This window comes from Homo sapiens, chromosome 21, assembly GCF_000001405.40.
Source record: "Homo sapiens chromosome 21, GRCh38.p14 Primary Assembly".
NCBI lineage: Eukaryota > Metazoa > Chordata > Mammalia > Primates > Hominidae > Homo > Homo sapiens.
Window position 1 is genome coordinate 29,599,913 of NC_000021.9, and position 27,220 is coordinate 29,627,132.

Genomic DNA, 27,220 nt, shown 5'->3' on the forward strand with positions numbered 1-27,220 from the left:
CATCTCTACTAAAAATACAAAATATTAGCCAGGCGTGGTGGCGCATGCTTGTAATCCCAGCTACTCGGGAGGCTGAGTCAGGAGAATCGCTTGAACCCCAGAGGCAGAGGTTGCAGTGAGCCGAGATTATGCCATTGCACTCCAGCCTGGCGACAGAGCAAGACTCCGTCTAAAACAAAAACAAAAACAAAAAAACTCCTTCTGCTTCTGTCTTATAAAGACACTTGTGATTGTAAATACAATCTAAATAGAACTCACCTGGATAATTTCCCCATCTCAAAAATCCTTAATCACCTATGCAAAGGCCTTTTTGCTATATAAATTAACATTTACAGGTTCCAGGGATGAGGACATGGGTAACTTTTGAGGGTGCCGGTCTTCTTCCTACCCTACATATCAACATCATTTCAAATAACAAAAAATTCACAATAGTCTGCCTTTCACAGAACTCACATTGGGTATCTCTGGTGGTTTTATTAAATAAAAAGCGGTGGCCCTTGGGAGAGTCTTCAGCTTCAATCATTAGGTGATTTTTGGCAACCTTGTTGATTTGAGTTTCACTTACAAATAGGGATAAAGGAAAACTCAGATCTTTGTATCCACTTAGCTGTTTTTCTCCCTCTTGACTTTACCAAATTCATTAGACATGCATAAAATGGGAAGATTCTGAAGAATTACACTGTATTTGCAGTTATTTGCGCCACGTATATATGTTGAATGTATTTACCCATTTGGCCAAGAGGCAGAGCAATGCAGTGAATTTTCCATACCTCTAGGGCTGAATATCTGCAGTGTAACTTCAGGCAAGCTACTGAACTTGAGGCGTTTTAATTTTTAACATTTATTGTTTTTATAACTGTCTCTCACTTTTCCCACTTTCATAATTCTAGAGTTTGGCTATTACTATCTCACGTTTAGCCTTTACTTGGCTGTGCTGTATTTCATTTTACAAATCACGACCAGATTCACGGTCCCCAAGTAAATTTTCGTATTTATGCAATTTTCACCAGCACATAAAGTACATAATGGATTCATTCTACCTACAAATTAGTCTAAACCTTGACTTTACGTTGGAGGTTGTGATGGTTAATTTTGTGTGTCAACTTGCCTAGGCCACACGATGCCCAAATATCTAGTCAAACATTATTTCTGGGTGTGTCTGTGAGGGTGTTTCCAAAAAAGATTAGCATTTGAAATGGTGGACTGAGCAAGGCAGACAGCCCTCTCCACGTGAGTGGGTACCATTCAATTCATGTAGAGCCTGAAAAGAACAAAAAGGCAGAGGAAGAGAGCATTTACTCTCTGCCTGACTGACAGCTGAAACAGCGGCCTTCACCTGTTCTTGAGAACAGGAGATTACATCATCGATGCTCTTCGTTCTCAGGCCTTTAGACTCAGACTAGACTTACACCAGCCAGCTTTCCAGGGTCTCTAGTTTGCAGATGGTAGAATGTGGGACTTCTCAGCCTCCATGTTGGTGTGCCAATTTCTCATAGTAAACCTCTTTGTATATATATCCTATTGTTCTGTTTCTCTGGAGAATTCTGGATAATACAGAGGTCTTTGAAAATTTTGCCTAAGCTACGTCTCCAGAATTTCCTACCACCGCTCCCCTATGCACAGCCCCAGCTGGAACAGGCCTGGGCTCTCCAGCCTCTGTGCTATTCATCCCAGCCTGCAGCCTCCACTCAGCCTCTCCATCTCCTATCCAGCCTTCAAGATTGGCTTATTGTGCTATTTTGGTCCACAGTCACTATTCTCCTCTTTGAGGCACAGGCCTCCCAGCTTATACACCCCTCTGACCAGTATTGCTTGTGTTTTCACATGTGATTTTGTACTTATTACCACTTACCTTTACACTTTCAGTTTGGAAATCCTTATATCCTCAATTGGATTGGAAGCTTGTCAGTCAAACCTAATTATCTTACTAAATTGTGTTCTCTTTAGTATTTAACAAAATGGCATAGCCCTTAGGCACTTTAATTTTTTTCTCGCTCTAATTTGTTCCAAAACAAAATTTTATTAATTTGTGTTTTTACTTTTCTGTCTTCTGTCACTCGTTTCTCTCTTTTAACCCATAATTTCTCAACTCATAATTCCATCTAAAAATAGCGAAATATCTTTGATTGGGAGTCAAGAAACCAAATTTAGTCTTTAAGCCACTATCAAGTTTTGCGGCCTTGGTTGAGTCATTTTGTCCCTTTTTTAGGCCACAGAGAAATGCACAGTAAGTGAAGATTTTGCATAAAACGAGCTTTAGCTCTGGAATTCTACAATCATAGGCAAGATACCATAGAGGGGTTTAATGAAAGTGATTCATGAAGCACCTATGATCTGGAAGCTGGGCTATATAAAACATAAAACACAGTTGTTATACTCAAATTTCAATGTAAAACATATTACTATCTGGCTGGGGAGAAAAGACTACAGAATTTGGTTCAATTATGTTTTCACTATTAATTCATTTGGAAAATATCCATTTATTGAATATCTTCTCTGTGCAGGGAAGTATGCTGAGAATACAGCCCCTAGAAGTTTACAGTTTAGTAGGAACAAACACATTAACGGATTTCCATAAAGCACTTTAGGTTTGAGGATAAAGATTTGCATAGAATATTGAGGAGAGAAGTATGGAGAAGAAGCACTTATCCCAACTGCAGGGAAAGAGTCAGCAAAAGATTCCTGAAGGCAAGAATGCCTGAGCTCACAAAGGATAAGTCCACCAAGCAAAGATTCATGTGCTGGGTAAAAACATGAAATAAAGAATAAATTATAAGTTTGCCATGAGACACTAATGCAAAGTAAGAAATGATGCGAAATGAGCCTAGGAAGGCAAGTAGTCTGTTTATAAAGGCGTTATGAAGCATGCTAGTTTGCTTAGACATTGCTCAGTAGACTTTTGGGGAATCATGGGGGTGTTTTAAACATGTGTTGCCATGGTCAGATGTGCATTATAGGGAGATCATTTGATATCTCTTTTATAATTGAGGAGAATGACTTGGAGAAGGTCAATATTGTAAGCAGTGTGTTGGTTAGTGGGTAGTTCTCATAGAACAAAATGTATACAGTCATATTCATATGCCCAAATATGAACACAGGGATAGCACAATTCCTCCATTTCCCTGTCCCACCAACTGGCACACCTTTAAATATTAATGAAAATAGTTCCACAGCAGGATAGACAGAATTTCATAAAGAGTATGTTAAGAAATCAGCTTAAATGTAAGGAACCAGTATAATTGGCCAAAGCATATTTTCTGGCTACCATTCAGATAGAGTGGATATTATGACAAAAGGATACTTTACCACTGATAGTGCTGGAAGTTAAATCAATGGTAGGGAATGATATGTGGACAAGAAAAGGCTCCAACTTTTTCCTCTAAGCTGTCTCGATGGCAAACTAGATGTTGCCCAAGTACTGTAACACATAAAAAGAAATACTTCTTCAGATCCTAGTACCTAGTCTCTAGAGTTTATTGCCAAGGGAGACCATAATACCAAACACTGGCACTAGCTTTAAAATTGAATGGCATATCTTTATGGTCAGTAGTAACACCTATTGCCACACCGGCTGAGATCCAGGTAATCATGTCTCTGCAATGGGACAAAAACTATCAGCAATGAATACAAGTAGGAGGTGTCCTCTTGTGTCTATTTAGGTACACCTCTTGGCATTGCATTCTCCTTTTTCTCCCCGTCACACCTCAATTCTAGTTTTTGTACTCTGGTCATTCTTTCTTATTTTGCAAGCCAAAGGCTGGCTTTGTGGATTGATGGGTTAAACGAGAGCCATGAAATAAGCTGCTGTGTTAGGCTTACAATATCTGTCTGAGAGCTGAGAACAATTTGTGTAATGCTTTGGTTGAGTGGAAATCTCCACTGTGTTAGGGGTTTGAATTAAGTCAGTTTTCAGGCCCCTTCTTCATGCCTCTAAACAAGGTACTGTTCCAACTGTCCTCCTGACCTGTTTGAAAGGATGTAGTTATCTTCATTAAATTCTATAGGATTTTCAGAAAGGTTTTTTCTAGAGGCAACTTTTCCTTTATGGGGTTCATGTTGTGAGTCAATTTGGTACATTGTCCAGAATTTACAGGGGTCTCTGAAAATGTACAGAATTGGTAGCATTTATCTCTTAGGGGAGCATATGGCTTATAGCGGGGTCTTAAAACCCAGATCAGAAATCCAATTTCATTCCCTAAGTGTGACTATTGTGTCCGTTTGTTTGGATTCTCTTGCATTGATTTTATTCTTGAACTTAGTGTTCCAATCACGGCTGCAGAGTAATTCCCACTTCTCGCTTTTTCTCCTGCTCATCCAAGTGGCAAAAAAGTTCCCTTTTCATGTTTTAACAATGCTTCCTTCTCTGCCTCAAATATCTACATAGACTCCCTGTGTGGTTCTTCACTGAAAGGAAATATCTTTGACCTTCAACGTCAAATTTCCCTTACTGGCACAATTACCCATGTCTTCCTGCCTCTCATCCCCTAGATTAGCTGCATTTCTGTATATGTTCTTTGTTTTTCTGCAAACTCATTGTTGATAAGCATTTATTAATCATCAATACACTATTGATTAGGGTGAATATGCAATGACTAATTCCTGGATGTGATAAATAGGATCCATGAGGAATCCATTTTTCTGGGACAGGGCTGAAGCATATACAATTTAGATAATGATATATAATTATATTATCCATAATTACCATGTGCTTGCCTTATGTAGAAGCATTTGCAGAGGGGACAATTATAGTATACTTAAAACAGAAAACAATACTTAAACTATTGTCCCTATTTTAGGAAAGAGCTTTATTTTCTACCCTGCATCAGATCTTCATGTCTACCACTGCTTAATAGCAACTAAATCAAATATTGTGAGTTTTCCTCATTCCTCTTATTGGACACATTATCTGATAATCAAGAGACAGGAATCAAGAGGTAAAAGAAGAAAAATAAAAGGTTTCATGAATATCTTATTTGTATATTCTTTCTCAAGATATTTATTGTCCAAATTAAATGCACATATTTTATTATTAGGGAAGTAAGGGGCTAGCACCTAACTCTGGGCTCTTATGATAATCAACTCTTAATGTCATTAGTTAAAATGATTTCTTTTACTTATTTATTTTTTCTGAAAGGGAATTTTTTTTTCTTCAACTTTTGTGTTAAGATCAGGGGTACATGTGCGGATATGCAGGTTTGTTACACAGGTAAACGTGTGCCATGGTGTTTTGCTTCACAGATCATCCCATCGCCTAAGTATTAAGCCCAGCATCCATTAGCTGTTCTTCCTGATGCTCTCCCTCCCCTGTCCGCATCTCTGACAGGCCCTAGTGTGTTTTGTTCCCCTCCATGTGTCCATGTATTCTCATCATTCAACTCCCACTTATAAGTGAGCACATGCGGTGTTTGGGTTTCTGTTCCTGCATGAGTTTGCTGAGGATAACAGCTTCCAACTCCATCCATGTCCCTGCAAAGGACATGATCTTGTTCCTTTTTATGGCTGCGTAGTATTCCATGGTGTATATATACCACATTTTCTTTTTTCAGTCTATCATTGATGGGCAATTGGGTTGGTTCCATGTCTTTGCTATTGTGAATCATGCTGCAATGAACATAAGTGTGCATGTATCTTTATAATAGAATGATTTATAATCCTTTGGGTATATGCCCAGTGATGGGATTGCTGGGTCAAAAGGTATTTCTGTGTTTAGGTCTTTGAGGAATTGCCATAGTGTTTTCCACAATGGATGAACTAATTTACACTCCCACCAACAGTGTGAAAGCATCCCTTTTTCTCGGCAACCTCGCCAGCATCTGTTGAAAAGGAATTTAAATATGTAAAAGAATGTAAATCCTCCCTTCCTAGAATTTTCCTTGACATAGCCATTGTCCTTTGCCATACTGAATAAATTGTTTCCTATTGAGAGAGACTTCTTATTCTTCACTTATATATTGGAAACTATGTTTTCTTCTGAGAACATTGTGTATGGAAGGCTCATGGCAAACTCAAGGTTAACTTTCCTTGCTAGATCAAGGTGAAGAAAAAAATTGTTTTTAAGTGACTATTCTATTTTTTAATAAAACTTATAAAAACTTGAAAATGAAGCAAAAAAAAAAAAAAAAGATTGTGTGACCTTCTTTGTCATGGTGGCCATAGTACAATAGCCTCATCCAAGGGTGATTTGATTCTCTAAAGAGGTGTCTCTTTATTTTTAAATTTACTGTTGTTTAAGATGCAGATTCTGTGAAATTACATGTTAATTTATAGGATTTGTATGTGGCAGAGATGTAAATGATTTCCATCTAATAGAAAAGATAACCTGAAAAATTATAATTGTATTGACCTATCGGACATTGGCCAGCTTTTTATTTTATTTTATTTTATTTTAAGTTCTGGGGTGCATGCGCAGGATATGCCGGTTTTTTACACAGGTAAACGTGTGGTGGTTTGCCACACATATCCACCCATCAGCTAGGTGTTAAGCCCCACATGCATCAGCTATTTATCCTGATGCTTTGACTTCCCTGGTGGCCTCTAGAACCACCGTGCCTCTCCGTCTTTTTACAGCAAGCTTTATCATCCTGCTGGTTCCCTCAGTTAGACACATCTTCAATACTTGCTTTCTTATGTTTGTGCTAGAGTCACATATATAACTGGCTTAAAATTGGAAATGGTCCTACGATGGTGCCCAAGTACACTCACCTGCCAGAGCCAATGTTATGGGCCATTTAAGCTCAGAAACATCTTTTTTTAAAAACAAAACAAAACAAAACAAAACAAAACAAAAAAAACAAAAAAACCCAAAACACAACACTCCAGTCCTAGAGCAAACCCTAAGTAGCAACAAACTTTACTTCTGCTGACTCTCTGTCTCTGTTGTTTCTTGTCTTGTCTTGTCTTGTCTTGTGATTATGTGTTTTGATTCTGAGTTTTGGCCAAGTCCGTCAGTCGAGAAGTGCCTTACCTAACTCACAGCTTCAGTCATTTCTCCTCCACAACTGGGTGCAGGCACCTGTATTTGGTCTCAGACCACTGTGCCACTTTCACTGCCTACTGAGAAGAGCATTTTGTGTCTCCTCGTTTGGGTCATAGCTGAGTATATGAAGTAGTGGGTATTTGACTGCTAGGCAAGTCTCATGAACACAGTCACGGGGATACTAGTGTCTTGTGTATCTGATCTGCATGTGGCTGTTAAGTTTTCCTTTGGTGGCAGGAATAATTGTGAACCTGGCACTTCGTTCTCATCATATGGTGATCTATCAGCTAGATGCAGGTAATCTAACTCTTTGCAGGGTGAGAGATGACTGAAAACCTGGTTTCTTAGCACTTTTCTTTTGTCTGAGCAAGATTATGTCTCAGGTTCACTGGAAATGACAACCAACCTTTCTGTCCTCCTGAGTTATTGTGTTCTATGTTTCCTTTCAAGACATGGCTAAGGTTATAGAACCAAAACTGCAACCCTCAATAGCTGCCTATCTCTGGAAATTAAAAAAAAAAAAAAGCCTTTTCACCTCATTGTGTATGAATAAAACCTTGTGAAATAAGGATTTTCTGTTTTTATTATTTATAGATTTGATTACTTATATCAATATTCTCAGGATTCTCATGTTGCAGAGAAACTGAAGTTTAAATACATTGTATTGCTACCCTTGAAAAAGTTCACAGAAATTGCTTGTATGTAAAAATGCAAGTTCATGTAACCAAAGTGCATATTTGACCACATTTAATTGATTTTTTTAAAAATTAGCTTAAATAGCATTACATATCTCTCCCTTAATATTATCACTCTGAATTATAGAGTTCTGATGTACTTTTTTGTTTTACAGATTTGTTTTTGGTTTCCTGAAAAGAGGCTAGTTAATCTGAACTCCTTAAAACTTCTTATACTGGTTTACCAATGAGACAAGATAGCATTGACACATAATGTTTAAAATGAAGATTTAAAATTATATGTAATTATGTTGAGTTAGAATTTTGGCAAAATTTTTATATAAACAGTTTTTACACTTTATAAGGTATCAGTTGACATGGAATTTCCATGTTTCTATTACGTTTCAGATCGTGAGCTAATGTAAAATCAAGAAGTTAACTGGTGGATAATCTTGGGATATCTGGGTTGCTTCTCATTAAGAGATAATATTGGCATGATGATTACCATTAGTGTGTGTATGTCTGCTTATACCTATAAATGTCTATATACGTCTTATTATTTCTATATGTTACAGAGAAACTGTAACTTAGAGTCATGTTAATGAGCATTTTGGTTTTGCCACTTTGAAGATGATGTTCAAAGAATGTATGTGTCTCTAGGGGGTTGTTTTATGCAAGCTCATGTGTATAAGGTAATGGGGTATATTTTTGTTTACAAAGTGAAAAGAAAATATGTTCCAAAGTATGAAACAGTATAGTGAATGGCAAAGCATGAGTGTGTGTGGAGTATAGAAGGTTGGAGGAAACAGAATTTTATTTACCTCGGAGTATAATATATGCACGTAATGAGTCTGAATAAAAACAAGGAAATGTGTTAAAATTTTGGCGAAGTTTACCCAGCTTTAATTGGTTCATTAATAAGATAGATATTTTAAGTTTTGTGAATCTTTTTTTCTGCCAAATACTGCATTAATGTAACACTATAGTTTTATTTTCTCTCTTTTAAAATGGAATATTTAGCCTGCTCTTAACAAGAAGATAAATTATCACTTACCTTCTATGTCATCGTCTCAGACACTTTCATTCCCATCATCAACACGTGGTTTCTGCTTTACTCTCATGTTTTTCTGAAGGTTTTGCTATAAACTACAGTCTGGAAATAGCCTTTGTCAGAGAATGGCAGTATCAGAGCCTCATGGAAACATGGTGCCAAAAAATACTCTTAACCTATTGGCACTTCAAACAGTCATTGGTATAGACTTTGGATATTAAGGTGTCACTTAGATGACTAACTGTACTAGAGGATGGAATCAGGATTTTCAGGACTCTTTTTAATAGTCCAGGAGCAGAAGACCTTTGAAAACCAGGTGTTGATCCAACATCCACTAGTTATAAGACAAGTAGGATTAAGTGAACTGCTGAGGGGAATCTAATTGTGGTTATATGGCTTTAATATCTTATTATAAGATATCTTGGGATACCTGGGTCATTTCTTTTATTCTTTTAATAAGATATGGTCTTTTAATAAGATATTATTAAATAATAATAAATAAGATAAAAAGGTATTATTAAATAATAAGATAATAATATATTATCTTTTAATAAGATATAGCTTTACATATCTTATTAAAAGAATAAAAAGATTCATTCTCTTCCTGATCTCTTTAACTCTCTCTTTGGTAACCTATAAATGACACATTCTTTATATGGCACCTTATTCTCCCTGACCACTCAGAATTCACAGACAACTTACTAGCTTTTATGGCAATGTGGTTATTTGTATAAAATCAATACAAATTTGTCCTTTTTATAACCAGGCTATAGTTGAATAAATTGGCTGTGTAAATAAGGTCACACCAGGTGTGATGGTTCACATTATGTGTCAATTTGACTGGGTGATGGGCCCACATTAAACGTTGTTTCTGGGTGTGTCTGTGAGAGTGTTTCCAGATGAGATGAGCATTTGAATTGGGGGGCCCAATAAAGAAGATTGCTCTCTCCGCTGTGGTTGGGCATCATCCAGTCCAATCTGTTGAGGGTCTAAGAAGAATGAAAGGTGAAGGAAAGAGGAAGTTGCTTCTTTTTTTCTGCTTTATTGTTGAACTAGGCCATCTCATCTCATCTTCTACTACCCTCATACTGGGAGTTATACCATCAGCTCCCCTGGTTCTTAGATCTTCGGACTCAGACTGAATTACACCATCTGCTTTTCTGGGTCTCCAGTTTGCAAATGGCAGGTCATGGGACTTCTCTGTCACCATAATTGAATGAGCCAATTCCTCAAAATAAATCATATTCCCTCTCTCTTTCTCTGTCTCTCTCTCTCCTATTGGTTTTGTTTCTCTGGAGAATCCTGACTAATATGCCAGGAATGTATCTGGTTTATTACAAATAATACAGATCTTATTTAATCAGGTGTAGCAAACCCACCATTAAGGAAAAAGTGCTGTACTTCAAATGTGGAACCAGGATTCAGAAAGCCCTCTCTGGAAACTGGTCTGTTATTTGTTCTATGATTTATACGATCATAAACTTACAGGTAAAAAGGAAGACAATTTTCTAGTAGACCAGGAAATCTATCAGATGTTGGGCACTCAGAGAAATTCACCAAAATGTCTAGGTGCTATAGGAATATTGTGCAGATGCATTTCTTGAATGGAGTTTCTTACCTTTGTGTGGTAGGGTGAATAAATGTCATGCTTTTCCCCATTGTCCATGTTCTAATCACTGGAACCTAGAAGGTAGCAACAGAAGCTACACAGATGGGATCAAGTTAAGGATCTTAAAGTGGGGAGATCATCCCGGATTATCTGGGTGGGCCTAATGTAACCACAGGGTCCTTATAAAAGGGACCCAGGAAGGGTCAGAGAGACAGAAGATGATGTGATGACAGAAATAGAAGACAGAGAGAAAGAGACTGAAAAATTGAAAGATGCTACTTTCAATTGAAAGATTGCTGGCTTTGAGGATGGAGGAAAGGGTCCATAAGCCAAGGATTACAGGAATCCCTGGACCTTGTGAAAGGCAAGGGAACTGATTTCCCTCTACAGCATCCAGAAAGAATCGGCCTTACCAACATCTTGACTTTAGCCCAATGAGACTTGTGTTAGAGTTCTGACTGCCAAAGCAGTAGGAGAATTAATTTGTGTTGCTTTGAACGACAATGCTTGTGGTAATTCACCTAAAAAGCAATAGGAAACTCAAACACCTTGGAATAAAAAAGCCAGTAAGAGAAAAAAAAAATTCTGGAGAAAGGATTCTGAAAATGCAATGAGAGATTTCTTTTGAAATTTTCTTACAGAAGTTAATTTTCTGTCCTTAGTAGCTGCTTGAAACAGCAGCTCTGAATTTGCTACCCATATCCAGAGGCTTCCATGGTCAATGAACATCTTGCACTGCCCCCATGTAAATTAATCAGGTCTAAGCACAATGACATCAGACTTTTGGTAATATGAATAATCTTTGGAAATTATTTATGACACAATAGGGAACTGCTGAGAAAATTATCTAAAACTTGGAAATAAAACAAAAGAACAACGACTGTATTTCGTTTCAAAGTCACATGGGATCATTGCCTAACAGGTCCACCCAAGGATGATTTAATCCTCTAGAGGATTGTACTTTTGTTTGTTTTACTATTTTCTATTGTCTAAGGTCAAGACTATGAAATTACATGTGGACTTAGATATTTTTTGTTCAACAGAGACCTAACTGATGCAAGTCTAGTACAGAAGATGACCTCAAAGGTTATGGTTTTATTGCTTGTTGAACAATAATCAATTTTGTCTTTAACTCAGATATTCATTTCCATTAGCTTCTCCTGTTGGACTATATAACCACTCTTTCTGTGATTCTTTTTTGAACTAGATTTACCATCCAGATGGTTCCTTCATTAAGGAGTTAAGTGTATTTTTGGCACATGCTTACATTATGTTTGCATGAGAGTCGTGTTGATAACTTTATAAAATTATATACTGACAAATGCAAAGTGGCATAAATGTAATCACATTTGGTCCTTACAGCATCTAGATAAGGTAAGTAGGATGGTCCCCAGTTTATTGAGAGGAAAGAGATCCTAAAGTTAGTAAGATGTACCCAGAGGGGTTCAGAACCAGTCTATCTCATGTTCTTTTTCTTCACCAAACTGCATTTCCATCAATGAGATGATGTGAAAGAAATGAAAGCATGTGGGCTTATTTCTCCATTTTACATCCTAACTCTAGACTTTATATGGGTCATAAGGAGAAAACATTCTCAAGCCCAAAATAAAAGGAGAAATAATTTAAAAATTTTCTATCATCACTAAAATCCTGATTTCTCACTCATTTAGTGGCATGTTTGAAGTGTGAGTTGCCCAAGTGGATCCCTCTTGGATCTGCTGGGTTCCATTTACAAAGACAAAGAGCCTCTGCTCTGGCTTCCAGGATCCTATTTCTCAGTTTCTCTGGTTCACCTAGCATGGAGCAGCTTCTCCTGCAAGTCAATGTCACAAGGCTAGAATGGGCTGTCTGCAGGAGTAGAAACAAAATAAGCCTTCAGCGTTTTTTGTGCAGTCCTCTTTGCAAGGGGTCTCAGGCCAACTGGAATTGACACATAGCGTTCTATTTGCCATCAGGGTTTAGAGTAAAAGGGATTTCTAGAAAATGAACCCTTGACCTTTGGCTAGTTTGTTGAAACACCTCTAATCTTCTTGCTAGCAATGCCTTTCACAGACCTTCATTGCCTGTCCCATTCTGTTTGTTGACCACTGGATTAAATGGGTCCCAGGACGGTTTTACCTTCTAGGATTTCTGTTTTGGATTACTTGTGTGTTTCTGCTCATAGAGTTACCACATTACCATAAGTGTGGGTGACTTTTGCTGACTTCAGATTTAACTGTGAGACAGTAAAGCATGTTTTAAAGTCCTTTACCTCTAGTCACACAACTCTCCCCACATTGAAACTTCTTGAATATGCCCTACATTCTCTTCCCTTCAGTACATTGTCAGTGCATTCATTTCTCACCAACTCAAAATATCTCCTTTTCTAGTATTCTGAGATATCAATGATGCTTGGCTTTTATAAAACACATCACACGGCAATCCATGATAGAATTACTTTGTGATTTGAAAAGCTGTATGGAAAACAGAAAGATTGAGATAAAACAGGATAATTTAATATAAACAGTAAATTAATATGTTTCTATTGGCCTCACCAAAAAGAATCACATTGCATTTACAATTTTAAAAATACCGCTAATAGGCTATGCATTGATTTTCACATATTGTTTACAAACAAATTTTAGTCATAAACCTGACATTGTAAACAAGACACTTTCAGCATAACAATAGTAATTTAAAATGCTACTTAAATAGCATTTTAATTGCTATCAAGTTTTAAAGTCTGAGCATGACATATTTGGAGAATGACTTTGGAATCAAATGACTGGGGCTTGAATCTTGGCTCTATCTTTGAGTAGCTGGGTGCCTCTTTGCAAGTTGCTTAACTTCCTCAAGCTTCATTTGCAAAAATTAATAGTCTTTATCTAGTCGTTGTGAAAATGAAAAGAGATAGTGCTTCAAAGCATCTAACACAGGACTGTCCGAGTGGAAGCCTAACAAAAATCCAGTTCCCTTATGATCTTGACCTACTTAAGATCTCCTCAACTCCCTTACAGATACGTGATTACTCATAGAGCAGTTTGCAATGAACCCTGCCCTATCTCAGGAATTTCTTTTATGCTGCTTGTCAGTGAAAAACCAACTGCCCTCCTATGTCATCAATAATATAGTGCAGTGGTTTTTACATTTTAAATGAGCACAAAATCATTGGAACACTGTTTTTAAATAAGTACTTTAGTTAGCTTTAAAAAAGAAGATCCTCACACTACACCATAAGAATCACTGGAAAAGGGCTCAAAGCTTGTCAGCTCCATAGATCTTTGTCTGATACTCATGTTTGCTGACCAATCCCACCAGACAACTTCAAGCCAGTTATTAAGCTTGGGGTCTGATTACAGTTCTGAAGAAGTTTACTCTGATGATTAAGGTATTTATCTATCTATCTATCCATCCACCACCCATATACAGGAAATTAATAGGTAAATAGTAACACTAATAAAAGTCTTATAAAATTGGGAAAGTGAGCTGTGGCTAGTATGGCCAATGTAGTTTTTAGGAGAAGATGAAAACATTGAGTTAGTCATTGATGATAAACAAGGTCTGACAAACTGCATATTTGTTTATTTCAGTATAGTTATTGGAATGTTGAAATGCTCTCATCATATGGTTGGGCATGTACTTATTGGATCCCATAACCCTATAATCTAGAGGATTTTCAGGCAAAATACAGATTGCTATGGGAAAATGGTTTTTAATATATTGTAGGCAAGGGAGATCTGCTGAGTCTTTTCAAAGACTGCTTGCCCTGAAAAAAATAGGTTTGCCCCCAAAGATCCTAGTTGTTATAATTATTCTTGGGGTCACCATATCCTCATAGGTCATTCTCTGGGGATTTAGATAACAACCCCTAGCATGGCCTCAAACCAAGTTTTTTTCCCCCATCGTTTCCTAAATGGAGCACTAGCCTGGTGATAGATTCCCTGGCACAACCATAGCAATCCAAAGCTCATACATTAATATGGATCTGAAGGAGGCCTGTAAGTACCAGGGCTGTACCCATGGCCCAGGACCTCCTGCATCCCGTCAGTCCTGGAGGCATTTACGCTGATCTCTGTGCATTTTCCAGTGTTTCAGCATGGCAACAATAAACAGTAGTTATAACTTGCTTTGTGTTTCAGATTCTTCATAAGAGCACTTTCCTGGAACAAAATTTTTAATTGCCTGGAGAATAAAATCCCTCTTTTTTTTTTTTTTTTTTTTTTTTTTTTGGGACGGAGTTTCGCCCTTGTTGCCCAGGCTGGAGTGCAATGGCACCATCTCAGCTCACCGCAACCTCTGCCTCCCGGGTTCAAGCGATTCTCTGGTCTCAGCCTCCCAAGTAGCTGGGGTTACGGGCATGCAACACTACATCCAGCTAATTTTGTATTTTTAGTAGAGATGGGGTTTCTCCATGTTGGTCAGGCTGGTCTCAAACTCTCGACCTCAGGTGATCTGCCTGCCTCGGCCTCCCAAAGTGTTGGGATTACAGGCATGAGCCACCGCGCCCAGCCCCCACCTTTCTAATATACTATTTATGACTTTTCCCTGCTGTGCTTTCCACCTCCATCTACTGCCATGTTCTGCCCCAATAGCTACTACACATAAACTTTGTGTTCCAACTATGTAGATGCTTCCCCAGACTTTGTGCACATAATAATTCACGAATTTGTTCCCAGTACTCTCTCTCCCTAAAAATTCTCTCCCCCAGTAAATTTTTAGAAACCTTACTTGATAGAAAGCGAGCATCACAAAGGCAGGGATGGGTATCTCTTGTGTACACTAATATATCCCAACAAATAAGGACGGTTCGCAGAACTAGTACATCCTAACTAAGTTCTTGTTGAATGAGCGATAGAATCTATCAAGGTCAATTCAAATGTCACCTCCTCTCCGAAGCTGTTCCGAACCCTTTTGGATGGAATGCATAGTTTTTTTCTTTGGGGTTTACTAGTATTTTATTTATTAATATATCATATTATAACCCACATCATAGCAGTCTTGTATTACAGTTTGTTGTGTGCATTTTCCTCCAGATGATGATGGCTTCCTTAAGAGCAGGTGTAGTGTGCATTCACCATTTGCCTTCATGGCCCACTATTCCTTTTTTTCTTTCTTTCTTTCTTTTTTTGATACAGAGTCTTGCTCTCTCTCAGGCTGGAGTGCAATGGCACAATCTCTGCTCACTGTAACTTCTGCCTCCCAGGTTCAAGTGATTCTCCTTCCTCAGCCTCCCAAGTAGCTGGGATTACAGGCACCTGCCATCATGCCTGGCTAATTTTTGTATTTTTGTAGAGACAGGGTTTTACCATGTTGGCCAGGCTGGTCTTGAACTCCTGACCTCAGGTGATCCACCTGCTTTGGCCTCCCAAAGTGCTGGGATTACAGGCATGAGCCACGGCGCCTGGCCCCACTATTCCTTTTACAACTAACAGGAATAGATGATACTTAATATAGCTAATTAAGCTGAATTCCGAAGATCTTCCAAGATATATGTAATACTGCTATAATTTCAGAAGATGCAAAAATGATATACTTTAATCAGAAATTATTTTGAAACATGAGCCCTTCTCTGTCAAATTTTCCAACGTCAAAGGCTTTTGCGGTTTCACCTGGCTCACAATATAACCTCATTTTGCCCAACCTCAGTCTCCCGTAACTTTGGATTTCCTGCAAGTAACAAGACTTCAGTGACTCTGGGAAAATCAGTTTACCCCACAGGGCTCCCAAGTCTTCTATAACCTAAAGATTTTGAGCAAAGCAATCACTAACAGTACACCTGTTCTATTCTTTCCTCTATTTGGCCTGGAAATTTGCCCCAATTCCCAACAAGGGCTGAATCCAGCACCCAACAGCCTTGGGAACCCATCCTGGACCTCTTTGAAAGCTAACACTGCACTTTCGAAAGTTAAATCAGAAAAATGGCCAAAGAAGTATGTCCTGTTCTCTAGTGAATCAGTTAGACTGTAGTGCTTAGAGACTCTTCTAACATGGAACAAAGTCTCCTTTTTGGCCTCTTCTGCTAGCTCAACTATTTTCAGACACAGGAGACTGACTGAACCCATCTCTTGAGGGATACGGTACTCTCTTGTCCATCAAGCAAATACGTTTAGATTTAAAAAAAATAGTAATGTACTTTTTCTTTCAGCTCTAGGGGTCCTTTATCATTCTTTGACAGGCTTTTATCATTTAAATTCCAAGTGCTCATTTACTTACAACTTCTTAACTAATCCTTTTGCAGCTGTGCCCATCTGAGCACAAAGACAGGAATAGGGCTTGCCTAAGTAATATCGTGATATTTTAGCAGAATTGCTGAGCAAGCCCTTCAGTTTCGTGTTTCTATCATCACATTAAGCAATACTACTTCAACTCAAATACTTTTCAGCATTTATTTCCTCAGGCTGAGGATTCTGGGGCTTCAATTCACTCAGCCTCTCAAGAACTTTCAGTCAAGTGAGGAAAAGAGTCAAATAAATCCCGTGGCATTTCATGAAACCGCCTCAAAACTACAAAAGACTTAATTAGACTATGGTTATTTGACTTAATGATGTTTTAAAACAATATTCACAAACTGTGAGTGAGAAAAAAAACTGCTTGATGCCATACTTCAAAGATGTCGCTTTCAAAATTGCTTTAAGCATGAAGCAACATACATTCTGCCTATTGTAGAATAATTAAGTTGAAATGGTAAAAGTCAGTTGTTTCAATAACATTACAGTTCAATGGAATCATGTTAATTAGAATAGGTTGGGCTTGTTCTCATTTAGATCCAGCTTAGTTTCATTCTCTCTCTTGGTGTGGAGCAAAATTTGCTATCAGCCATCATTGTATAAAACATTTTATAATAAGTAAAAACCAGTGATAAAAGATGGGCTTTGCAGATCTCTAATTAGCAAACTCCCTTGAAAGTATATTAATCAAAATACATTTCCAATTTAATTTTTAATAGTGTCATTACCAAGGCATTAAAAAGAAACATAAAACACCTTCCAGAGAAGGAAACACACATCCTGGGAGCAATCGAAGAGTTGCTGCCTTTTGGTGCAGAGAATGCAGCAAGTGAATTTAGTTCTTTTACGGTGTTAAGCCTCATCCTTCAATAACGCTGCTGCAGAAAGTCAGTCTCTTTGTCTTGTGTCACATTTTTTACACCAATCTTGTTGCCATTTAAGTTCTTGCCATGGATTGTTCCCGTGTGCAAGTTTGAGCAATCAGTACTGAATATAAATGATTTTGGAAACCGTGTGTAGTGGGAGCTCAACAATCAAAAAGTTAATAAAGTGATGCTCTTAAAAGATGCATGTTATGTGCTGATGCTGTCACCTCTAACAGGACTTCCACCCAACCGCCATACATCCCCCAGGTACCCGGGCCCAGTGCCAAGACAGGAGTGTTTTCAGAAGCGCTTGCATCTAAACATTAAAACAGGCTGCTTATTTCCATTTAATGGTCAATTCATTAGCATAGGGAATAGAGACCATTTTATATCTGCCATCAATATTTTGCTTAGTATTTTAAAAATGTCACATTGACAGAGGCCTGGAGTGTGACATCAGATTCAAATATTTTCCTCTGCATCCTTAATGCATTTCAGGCCAAACGGCATGCTGAAGGGCCTTCTGGGCTGCTATTGTATAGACCAGTGTTGAGGATTTGCAATGGCTTATTTGATTTAGAATATGTTTATTTAAAGTCTGTTTATTCTTTATTGCTCCATGCTCATTTGCATTTGCATATCCTTTCCATTGTTCTGTGGCATTTGACATGTGATACTACTTATTCTCATTAATCTCTCAGTTCCAGTTTATCACATTGACCCTGACTGAAAGGCTTAGGATGACCTAGTGTCCCTTAGTGTCACCTTGATAATCTCTAATTGTCCTTCACCTTTCATCTTTGATATTTCTTCCTCCAAGAAGCCTTACCTAAACTTCAGAGACAGGGTTAGCATTCTTCCTAGGGTTCCCATAGTTTCCTGCAATTATCCCTATTAATGTACACATGGCTGCATGAAATCGATTGCTTACTTGTCTGCTTCTCCTGATTAACTTTTGATTCACTGAGGGCAGGGCATTCGGGCTTCATGAATGCAAATCCAAACCACAATGCGATACCACCTTACTCCCGCAAGAATGGCCATAATAAAAAAAATTTAAAAAAGTAGATGGTGGTGTGGATGCAATGTAAAGGGAACACTTCTACACTGCTGGTGGGAACGTAAACTAGTACAACCACTATGGAAAACAGCGTGGCGATTCCTTAAAGAACTAAAAGCAGAACTACCACTTGATCCAGCAAGCCGACTACTGTATATCTACCCAGAGGAAAATAAGTCATGAAACAAAAAAGATACCTGCACATGCATGTTTATAGCAGCACAAATTCACAATTGCAAAAATATGGAAGGAACTCAAATGCCCATCAATCAACGAGTGAATAAAGAAAGTGTGATATATATATGCACAATGGAATACTACTCAGCCATAAAAAGGAATGAATTAATGGCGTTCACAGCAACCTGGATGAGACTGGAGACTCATTATTCTAAAGTGAAGTAACTTAGGAATAGAAAACCAAACAATGTATGTTCTCACTCATAAATGGGAGCTAAGCTCTGAATATGCAAAGCCATAAGAATGATACAAGGGGCCGGGTGCGGTGGCTCACGACTGTAATCCCAGCACTTTGGGAGGCCGAGGTGGGCAGATCACGAGGTCAGGAGATCAAGACAATCCTGGCTAACAAGGTGAAACCCCGTCTCTACTAAAAATACAAAAATTAGCCAGGTGTGGTGGTGGGCGCTTGTAGTCCCAGCTACTCGGGAGGCTGAGGCAGGAGAAAAGCGTGAACCCAGGAGGCGGAGCTTGCAGTGAGCCGAGATTGTGCCACTGCACTCCAGCCTGGGCAACAGAGCGAGACTCCGTCAAAAAAAAAAAAAAAAAAAAGAATGATACAATGGGTTGGGCACGATGCCTCACGCCTGTAGTCCCAGCACTTTGGGAGGCCAAAGCGGGCAGATCACGAGGTCAGGAGATCAAGACCATCCTGGCCAACATAGTGAAACCTCGTCTCTGCTAAAAATAGAAAAATTAGCCGGGTCTGGCAGCGTGCACCTGTAGGCCCAGCTACTCAGGAGGCTGAGGCAGGAGAATTGCTTGAACCCAAGAGGCAGGGGCTGCAGTGAGCCGAGATTGTGCCACTGCACTCCAGCCTGAATGACAGTGAGACTGTCTCAAAAAAGAAAAAAAAATAATGATTCAACGGACTTTGGTGACTCAGGGGGAAAAGAGTGGGAAGGGGGTGAGCGGTAAAATACTACAAATTGGGTTCCGTGTATACTATTTGAGTGATGGGTGACCAAAATCTCACAAATCACCACTAAATAACTTACTTATGTAACCAAATACCACCTGTTCCCCTAAAACTTATGGAAATAAAAAATTGAAAAGTAAAATAAAATTAGGACCTAAGAAAAGGAAAAACTCATATTCAATGATCATACTGTACCACTTGGTGAATTTCTCAGTTAAACACACTGAACATATTTCTTTAATGGAGGCATGATGGTAGAACAGAAGCAGCAACAGAAGCAGCATGGATTTTGGTTTCCCACAGCCCCAGATTCAAATCTACCTGCACCTTTACCAGGGACAAGTTGATCAAACCAACTGAGGTCTATTTTGCCATTTGTCAAGCAGGAATATAAAAATCTACAGTGCAGGAATGTTGTGAGGATGAGAGCTAAATATTATTCATATCTAAGCATCAAAGGATGACCAAAGATAGTCACGGTTCTCTTTACTCCTGAGAGATTTCCATTAAGTGCAGTGATTGGATTCAACCTCTATCCTTAGAGATGCTGTGTCATCTGCAAAGCTTGGCTCCTTATAAAGATGTGCGTGTATAAGGCTAGTATAAAGCCTATGATGTTAAGAAGTTATTCGCCAAGTAATTTAGGATGTGTAACTGCATGCATACTAGCTTAAATGTTGACAGGGACCCAGACCATCTTGAATTGGCCAGCAGGTAAAAGCAAGTATCAGCTCTGCAGTTTTCAAATGTTGGATATTAACTGAGACGTAACAGGTATTTCTTGCCTGAGTGGACTTTTTCTTGCAGCAAATCACTAGGTGATTTCATGCAAGGTTTACAGCAGTTTTACTGGGATGAGGGCATCTCATGTGAAAGGTTACAAGGCAAGAATAAAATCAGAATTGGCAGCCAATCAAGCAATTTGTTGAAAGAAATGGCTTGTTTCCACCATGGCCTTTCTTTAAACTTCATTGAAATAGAGGACATGCTGTACCCTTTGAGGGCAAAGCACTTCGTTAGACTTGCTTCCAGAGAGATCGTCACCTATTTTCATTCTCTTTAGGATAAGCTGGACTTTTCTGAAGTTAAATCTCACTTGTGATTTTCTCTGAGGCTGAGATACCAGCAATTTGCCTTGGACCAAAGGAAAAAAAAAAAGCTGTGAGGTGATGTTTTGGGGAAAGACACTGAAGTTAAGTGAAAACCAGGATGTGTTTTACCTTCTTCTCTAGTCTAAGTTACATAAATGGTATGAAAGTCATATATATATAGATATATATATCTATATATATATAGATATATATATATAGTAATAATATATTATAGTCATAAAATATATATCATATGTAGTTATATATATTATTTCCTAGAGCAATGTGTGATATATATCATATATGTAATTAATTCTATATTCTATATATGCTCTCTGTATATATTATTTATATAATTCTACATATACAGAATTTGGAAAAAAAATATATATCTTATATTGCTCTAGGAAAATAATTTAAAATTTGGAGTATTCTTTCTTGGCACTACATAACCATAAGCTTTGGAGGACACTGACTAAACCCAATTGTGAATTAATTTAGCCAACAATGTGCCTTCCTAAATTTTAAAAAGAAGAAAGCCAGCCTTCAAATTAAGAGAAGACAAAATTCTAGTTTCTCAATTGTCAGAAACAGAAAGTAATAACAGTACATTAAAAAATCATTTCTGAATCATAAATCTTTGCTCATACACCTGTTGAGAGAAGTCAGGGATGACACATAGGAACTGGTAGGAATTTTCAGTTTCTTCCTAAGAACACTCAAATGTGGCACCTGACAGAAATCCTGCTATGTAACTAGAAAATTGATATAAATATTCATTGGGCCTGAGGGGTGTGTGTGTGTGTGTGTGGGGAAGACGATCTAAAACCTAAAACTCTTTGTTTCATTCTCAATTCAAAATGCAGATGGGCAAATTATGCATCTATATAGTCCCAAGCTAAAGATCCAAATTTGCTAATTTCTTACTTTGTAGTAATAGTGAACCCTCTTGCTATAAATTCCACATAGTGTGATCATCTAGTTCTGATTTGCCCAGTATTATCTAGATTTTAAAATGGAAGGTCCCATGTCCAGGGGAGATACTCTCAGTCCCAGGTGAAAACCAGAATCATTTATTACCCTACTTCTAGGACAAGACTGGTATGAAATGGTCTTTTTTCCCAGTAAGTAGCCTCAAAGTATCAGTCAGGGTGTACTAATTTCAGAATCAGTAAAATATAGTGCCCCACAGTATAGATACAACATCCACTTTACACTTGGTAGGTTCCCAGGATCATAGCACTACTGGAGAAGGTCACATGGATTCTCTAATTCCTTAAATTTGTAGGCAAATCAATTATTTATAAATAAAATCATATGTGAGGTGTTCTAAGAATAACTTCTTTTTTCTTTTTTTTTTTTGAGTTGGAGTTTCGCTCTTGTTGCCCAGGCTGGAGTGCAATGGCACGATCTTAGCTCACTACAACCACTGCCTCCCAGGTTCAAGTGATTCTCCTGTCTCAGCCTCCTGAGTAGCTGGGATTACAGGTGCATGCCACCACACCTGGCTAATTTTTGTATTTTTAGTAGAGAAGGGGTTTCATCATATTTGTCAGGCTGGTCTCAAACTCCTGACCTCAGGTGATCCACCCGTCTCAGCCTCCCAAAGTGCTGGGATTACAGGCTTGAGCCACCACGCCCGGCCTCTAAGAATATTTTCTTGCTCAAAGAATCCTATAGTAAACCTTTTTAAAAAGTAGTTGTTCTTGTATTTTGTTTTGAAAAGCTGAATTGCTATTCTGGTCTTGTTTAAGTTGGGAGTACTCTACGTTGGAAGACATGCTTTAGAATAAAATCTACATGGTTGAAATCAGTGTTTCTTCTCCTACCTATAGTAGTCACTATTGGTGTCCTGTCAAATTCTCCTCCACCAGCTTGGTACATTCATGCCCTAGCTACAGGCAGTGTTGGTTATCCCTGGTCTACAAGAGCCTGCTGGTTCTGAGATGCCAGGGAGATCCTGTCCCAAATTCCCAGAAGGGTGATGACCAATAGCCAATGAATGAGTACTACTGGGGTATGCTAGCCTCCTAGGGGGACCATGCACATTTGGATGAAAATTTATGTTCTAAAGGTCCCCTGTGGGATATGGCTAATATTTGATTTCTCCTAGTTTCTTCCTCTGTCTTATCCAACCTTCCTTACTCCATTACTCATTTCTCCTGAGAGCGCTTCCTCAATAGGTCACTTGCACAAGATTCCCCATCTTAGGCTGTCCCTCTAGGGAAACTGACCTCTACTATATCTTATGATATGTGAATCCATAATTTACTAAAATTTTATTCCCAACTGGCAAATTTGCTGTTTCTTTGTCTATTCATGGTAATAATTATAATATCTTCAAGACAATGTGGAAACTTACTATAAGATCATAAGAAGGAGGATGATGGAAGGTAACAAATTGACTGCCTATCAGACTATATATCATCTCAGTTATTGTATCAGTCTGTTCTCATCCTGCTAATAAAAACATACCTGAGATTGGGTAATTTATAAAGTAAAGAGGTTTAATGGTCTCGCAGTTCCACATGGCTGGGGAAGCCTCACAATCATGGCAGAAAATGAAGAAAGAGCAAAGGAACATCTTATATGGCAGCAGGCAAGAGCGAGAGCATGTGCAGGGGAATCCCTCTATAAAACCATGAGATCTCATGAGACTTATTCACTATCACAAGAACAGCATGGGAAAGACCCACCCTCATGATTCAATTACCTCTCACAGGGTCCTTCCCATGACACATGGGAATTATGGAAACTATAATTCGAGATTTGGGTGGGGACACAGCCAAACCATATCAGTTAGTTATGACCCAAACCCTGCAAGACAGGCTTTTGAAAAATCTCCTTAAAAAAAAAAATCAATAGGAAGCTGAATTTCAGGCCAAGATGACACCATAAGTTAATGAGAAACCCAAGCTTAACTTAGGTTGTCTCATTCCAAAGACTTTGTTATTTGTGTTTATTTTATCTTCCTTTACTTCTTCGTTTTTATCTTTAATTGCTCAATGTATAAATCCAGCTTAAAAATACCCTTATTTCATGAATAACCTCAATAACTCTCAAAATGAATATTGTTTAGCTTGAGTTTTTCATAAGCTATAATTAATTTCAAAAGTTCATACTGAAATAAATAAAATAGAATGAATAGAAAGCACTGGTATAATGTAGTAGGTGTTTGACCCTATATAAGAGTCAACATGCTATTCACTAAGTATAAAGTGTGGATTCTCCAACTAAACACTTGCAGAATAATTGTCTAATGCCAAAGTAATCTTTCATAGAGAGAATTTCATTTATTGTCTTTATTTTTGAAATGTTTTGTTGGCAAATCTTGTTGACATAATGTGGATAATTGCCATCTTTGGCTGAACGTGTTTTTTGTGTATAATGATGCTATGATTTTATTTCTAAAAATAGTGTAATGAAAAGAAAATGTGTAATGCATTGAACAGAGCAAACTTAGTAGAGGTTCAAAATTAAGTGAACAGTTTGTCACACTTAAGATCTTCATTATTCCTTTAAAATTAAATCCCTTGCAATTATTGAAATTGTCCTCTAAAATATTTGGCAGTGACTACACTCATGACATGTATTGATGCAGAAAAATGTTTATTTTTCCCTTTCTTATTCTGAAGAATTTTAAACACAAATGCTGTCATTCCTTGATTAGAACCTTTTTTGGGTTATAAATCATGACTAGACTACTTGAGTGAATCTAGATTTAGGTAATTAGATGTTAGTACCAGCCTGTTTTCCATTGCAGAATATTTAAAAATGGTATAAGATATTTAGAAGGGAGGAAAAAGGCATTTTTTAGAAGTCATTTTTTAAAGGCATTGCCTTTACTCTTATTAATCATGCCACTTAAATTTTAAAGCTGTATTTAATATGGAATCAATAAAAAAAAGAAATGAGTAGAAAATCTCTAACATTTATAACCAAAAGGTCAGCTCAAGTTATAACTTTTGTCAAAACCTGAATTTCCAAGGCAAACCTTAGAATCATCTATTTAAGTAAAAGCCAACAATGAATGTTTTCCTCTGTTTCTCTGAGTGATTCTTCTTAAGCTGCACATAGAGGAAGTCAGTATTCAAGTATTATTTTCAAGTTGTAATTAGCTTGAAGTTTAAATCACTAGTTTGTAATTTTAATAATGTAGATGACTAAAGCCCAGGCTGGGGGCTAAACCTGTGCTTTGGCTTACGGAGGACCAAGAAGGAATGGTGTGAGGTTAGTGGAGAGGGCTTGCCCTCCTTCTCTGCAAGACCCATCCACTCTCCAGCTCACGTCTCTGACTCTCCTGCTGTTCTGGAAATTAGGGAGAAAGAACAGTTTGATCCAGGCCTTTCTTCTTCCCTTCTCACTACCTCCTGTTCCTCAGGGTGAGCTCATAGCAGGTCTGTGTTGCTCTGTTAGATCCTTATGTAGTCTGACATGTGGAGGGCACGAGGCCATGTTTATTTTGCCTTAAGTTAATTGATGTGTCTATTAATATCTTCCGTACTGTGGATTGTTATGAAGCTTTACTTGTGAATAATGCAATATAAAGCACATCGTAATATATACCTCACGCCATTGGTTATATTGAATTATACAGGGGTAGAGGACGGGCAACATAATTAACTTTATCTTAATGCCTAAAATGCAATCTTTCTCAAACTTGCATAAGATCATCTAAGTTTCTGGGAAGTGAATGTGAGAAGTAATTCATTTTCAGAGGTTTTGTCAGGTGATTTGGTGCACACTTAATTGTGAGAATCTCTGGCCCACAGAATTGTTCTGGATCCTTAGTAGAGCATAGAAGGCCCTTGATTATCTGGCCTCTGCTGATACCATTTAACCTCTTACCATACTTCATTCAGCCGCCAACCAGTTCCCAAGAGTGGAGTGTTCTTCCCCACCATGCTGCCTGCCACTCTCCAATTCATCCTCCAAAGCTGAGGCCAACCCTCATGTCCTCTGAGAAGGTTTTAAAGTAACTTAAGTACTGAGGTGGAAGAACTCTATTGTCCCTGACAAGCACTCCCCCATATCTGTTATAATGTGACCAAATGTATGCAAATATGTAATGCACATATTTGCTTTCATGTCTCTCTTCATGTTGAACTCTGCTTCCTCAAAGTTAGGGACCATGTCTCTCTTGTCTTATTAGTACAATTCCTGCCAGCACTTCCAGCACATAGTATATCTTGCTCAATATTGATTGCAAAGTGAATGTTTCAGAGTCATCCTAGTGAATGTTATGCATGACTATTTGTCCTTTAATTAAATGGTTGTACCCCTGAAGAGTGAATATGAGTAAAGTTATGGGCAAAGTTGTGTCCCCCCAAATTTGTATGTTGAAGCCCTAACCCCCAGCAGCTTAGAATGTGACTATATTTGGAGACAGGGCCTTTATAGAGGTAATTAGGGTTAAATGAGGTCATAAAAATAGGGCCCTAATCCAATATCTTAGTCCATTTGTATTGCTGTAACAAAATACCACAGACTAATTTATTTTTAAAAAGAAATTTGTTTATCACAGGCTTGGAGGCTGGGAGGTCTAACATTAAGGTGCCAGCATCTGGTGAGGGCCTTTTTGCTAAGTCATCTCATGGTGGAACGTGGAAGGGCAAAAGAGCATCAGAGAATGCATGCACATGAGAGACGGGGGACCAAACTCATTCTTTTATCAGGTATGGATAACAGCAGTAATCCATTCATGAGGGCAGAGTCCCATGCTTTAATCACCTGCTGAAGGTCCCACCACTTAACGCTGTTGCATTGGGGATTAAGTTTCCAACACATGAACTCTGGGGGACACATTCAAATCGTAACATCCAGGGTGAACGGTGTCTTTATAAGAAGAAACATTGCCAGAGATGAACACATGAAGAAAACACCAGGGGAGGACACAGCAAGAAGGTGGCCATCTCAAGTCAGGGAGAGAGGTCTCAGAAAAAACCAAACTTGGTGACACCTTGATGCTGGGCTTCCAGCATCACTTCTCCTTTTATTTGTATTTCAAATAGAACTTGTATTAATAGGGCACTGTTTGACAATTCTCTCTCTAGTTTTTGCTAATTGATTCATGCACTCCAGTCATAATTTTACTGGTGGATGTCAATGTTTAGCACCATTGGTTTTTGTATGTGTTGATGAGCACACTATTTCTAGCCTGGAAATTGTGAAGAACAATCAGTTATACTAAATGAATCACCCAGCATATTTTCAATATGAACCTCTGGCAAGGAGTCTTCCTTTTTGCCCTGGATGCCTGAAGAATGGGTTCCATTAGCAATGCAGTATTTGAAAACAAATGTTGCATGTTGAAATGGTGATCAAATCACATTTCAGGAGTTTTGCAGTTGTAAGAGGGCCTATTCCAACACTTACTACACAAATTCAAAGGGTAAAAAATTTGAGTTATGTGATGAAAATATTTTAAGACAGGAAAATATGGTTTAAATAAACCCTCTGGGTTCCTGTAGAGGACTACTTGTTACCTCTGTAGCATAGTTTATCAGGTTCTTGTATTACAGTAACTATGCT

The 27,220-nt window shown here is 38.1% G+C and overlaps 1 protein-coding gene and 1 long non-coding RNA gene across 14 annotated transcripts in view; one reads left to right on the forward strand and one right to left on the reverse strand.

Moving 5' to 3' along the window:
* The window catches only part of GRIK1 (glutamate ionotropic receptor kainate type subunit 1), a 403,064-nt gene that overhangs the window by 62,980 nt on the left and 312,864 nt on the right, over positions 1 to 27,220 (reverse strand). The window lies entirely within an intron of this gene.
* Positions 1 to 27,220, forward strand: part of GRIK1-AS2 (GRIK1 antisense RNA 2) — a 34,708-nt gene that overhangs the window by 3,873 nt on the left and 3,615 nt on the right. The window lies entirely within an intron of this gene.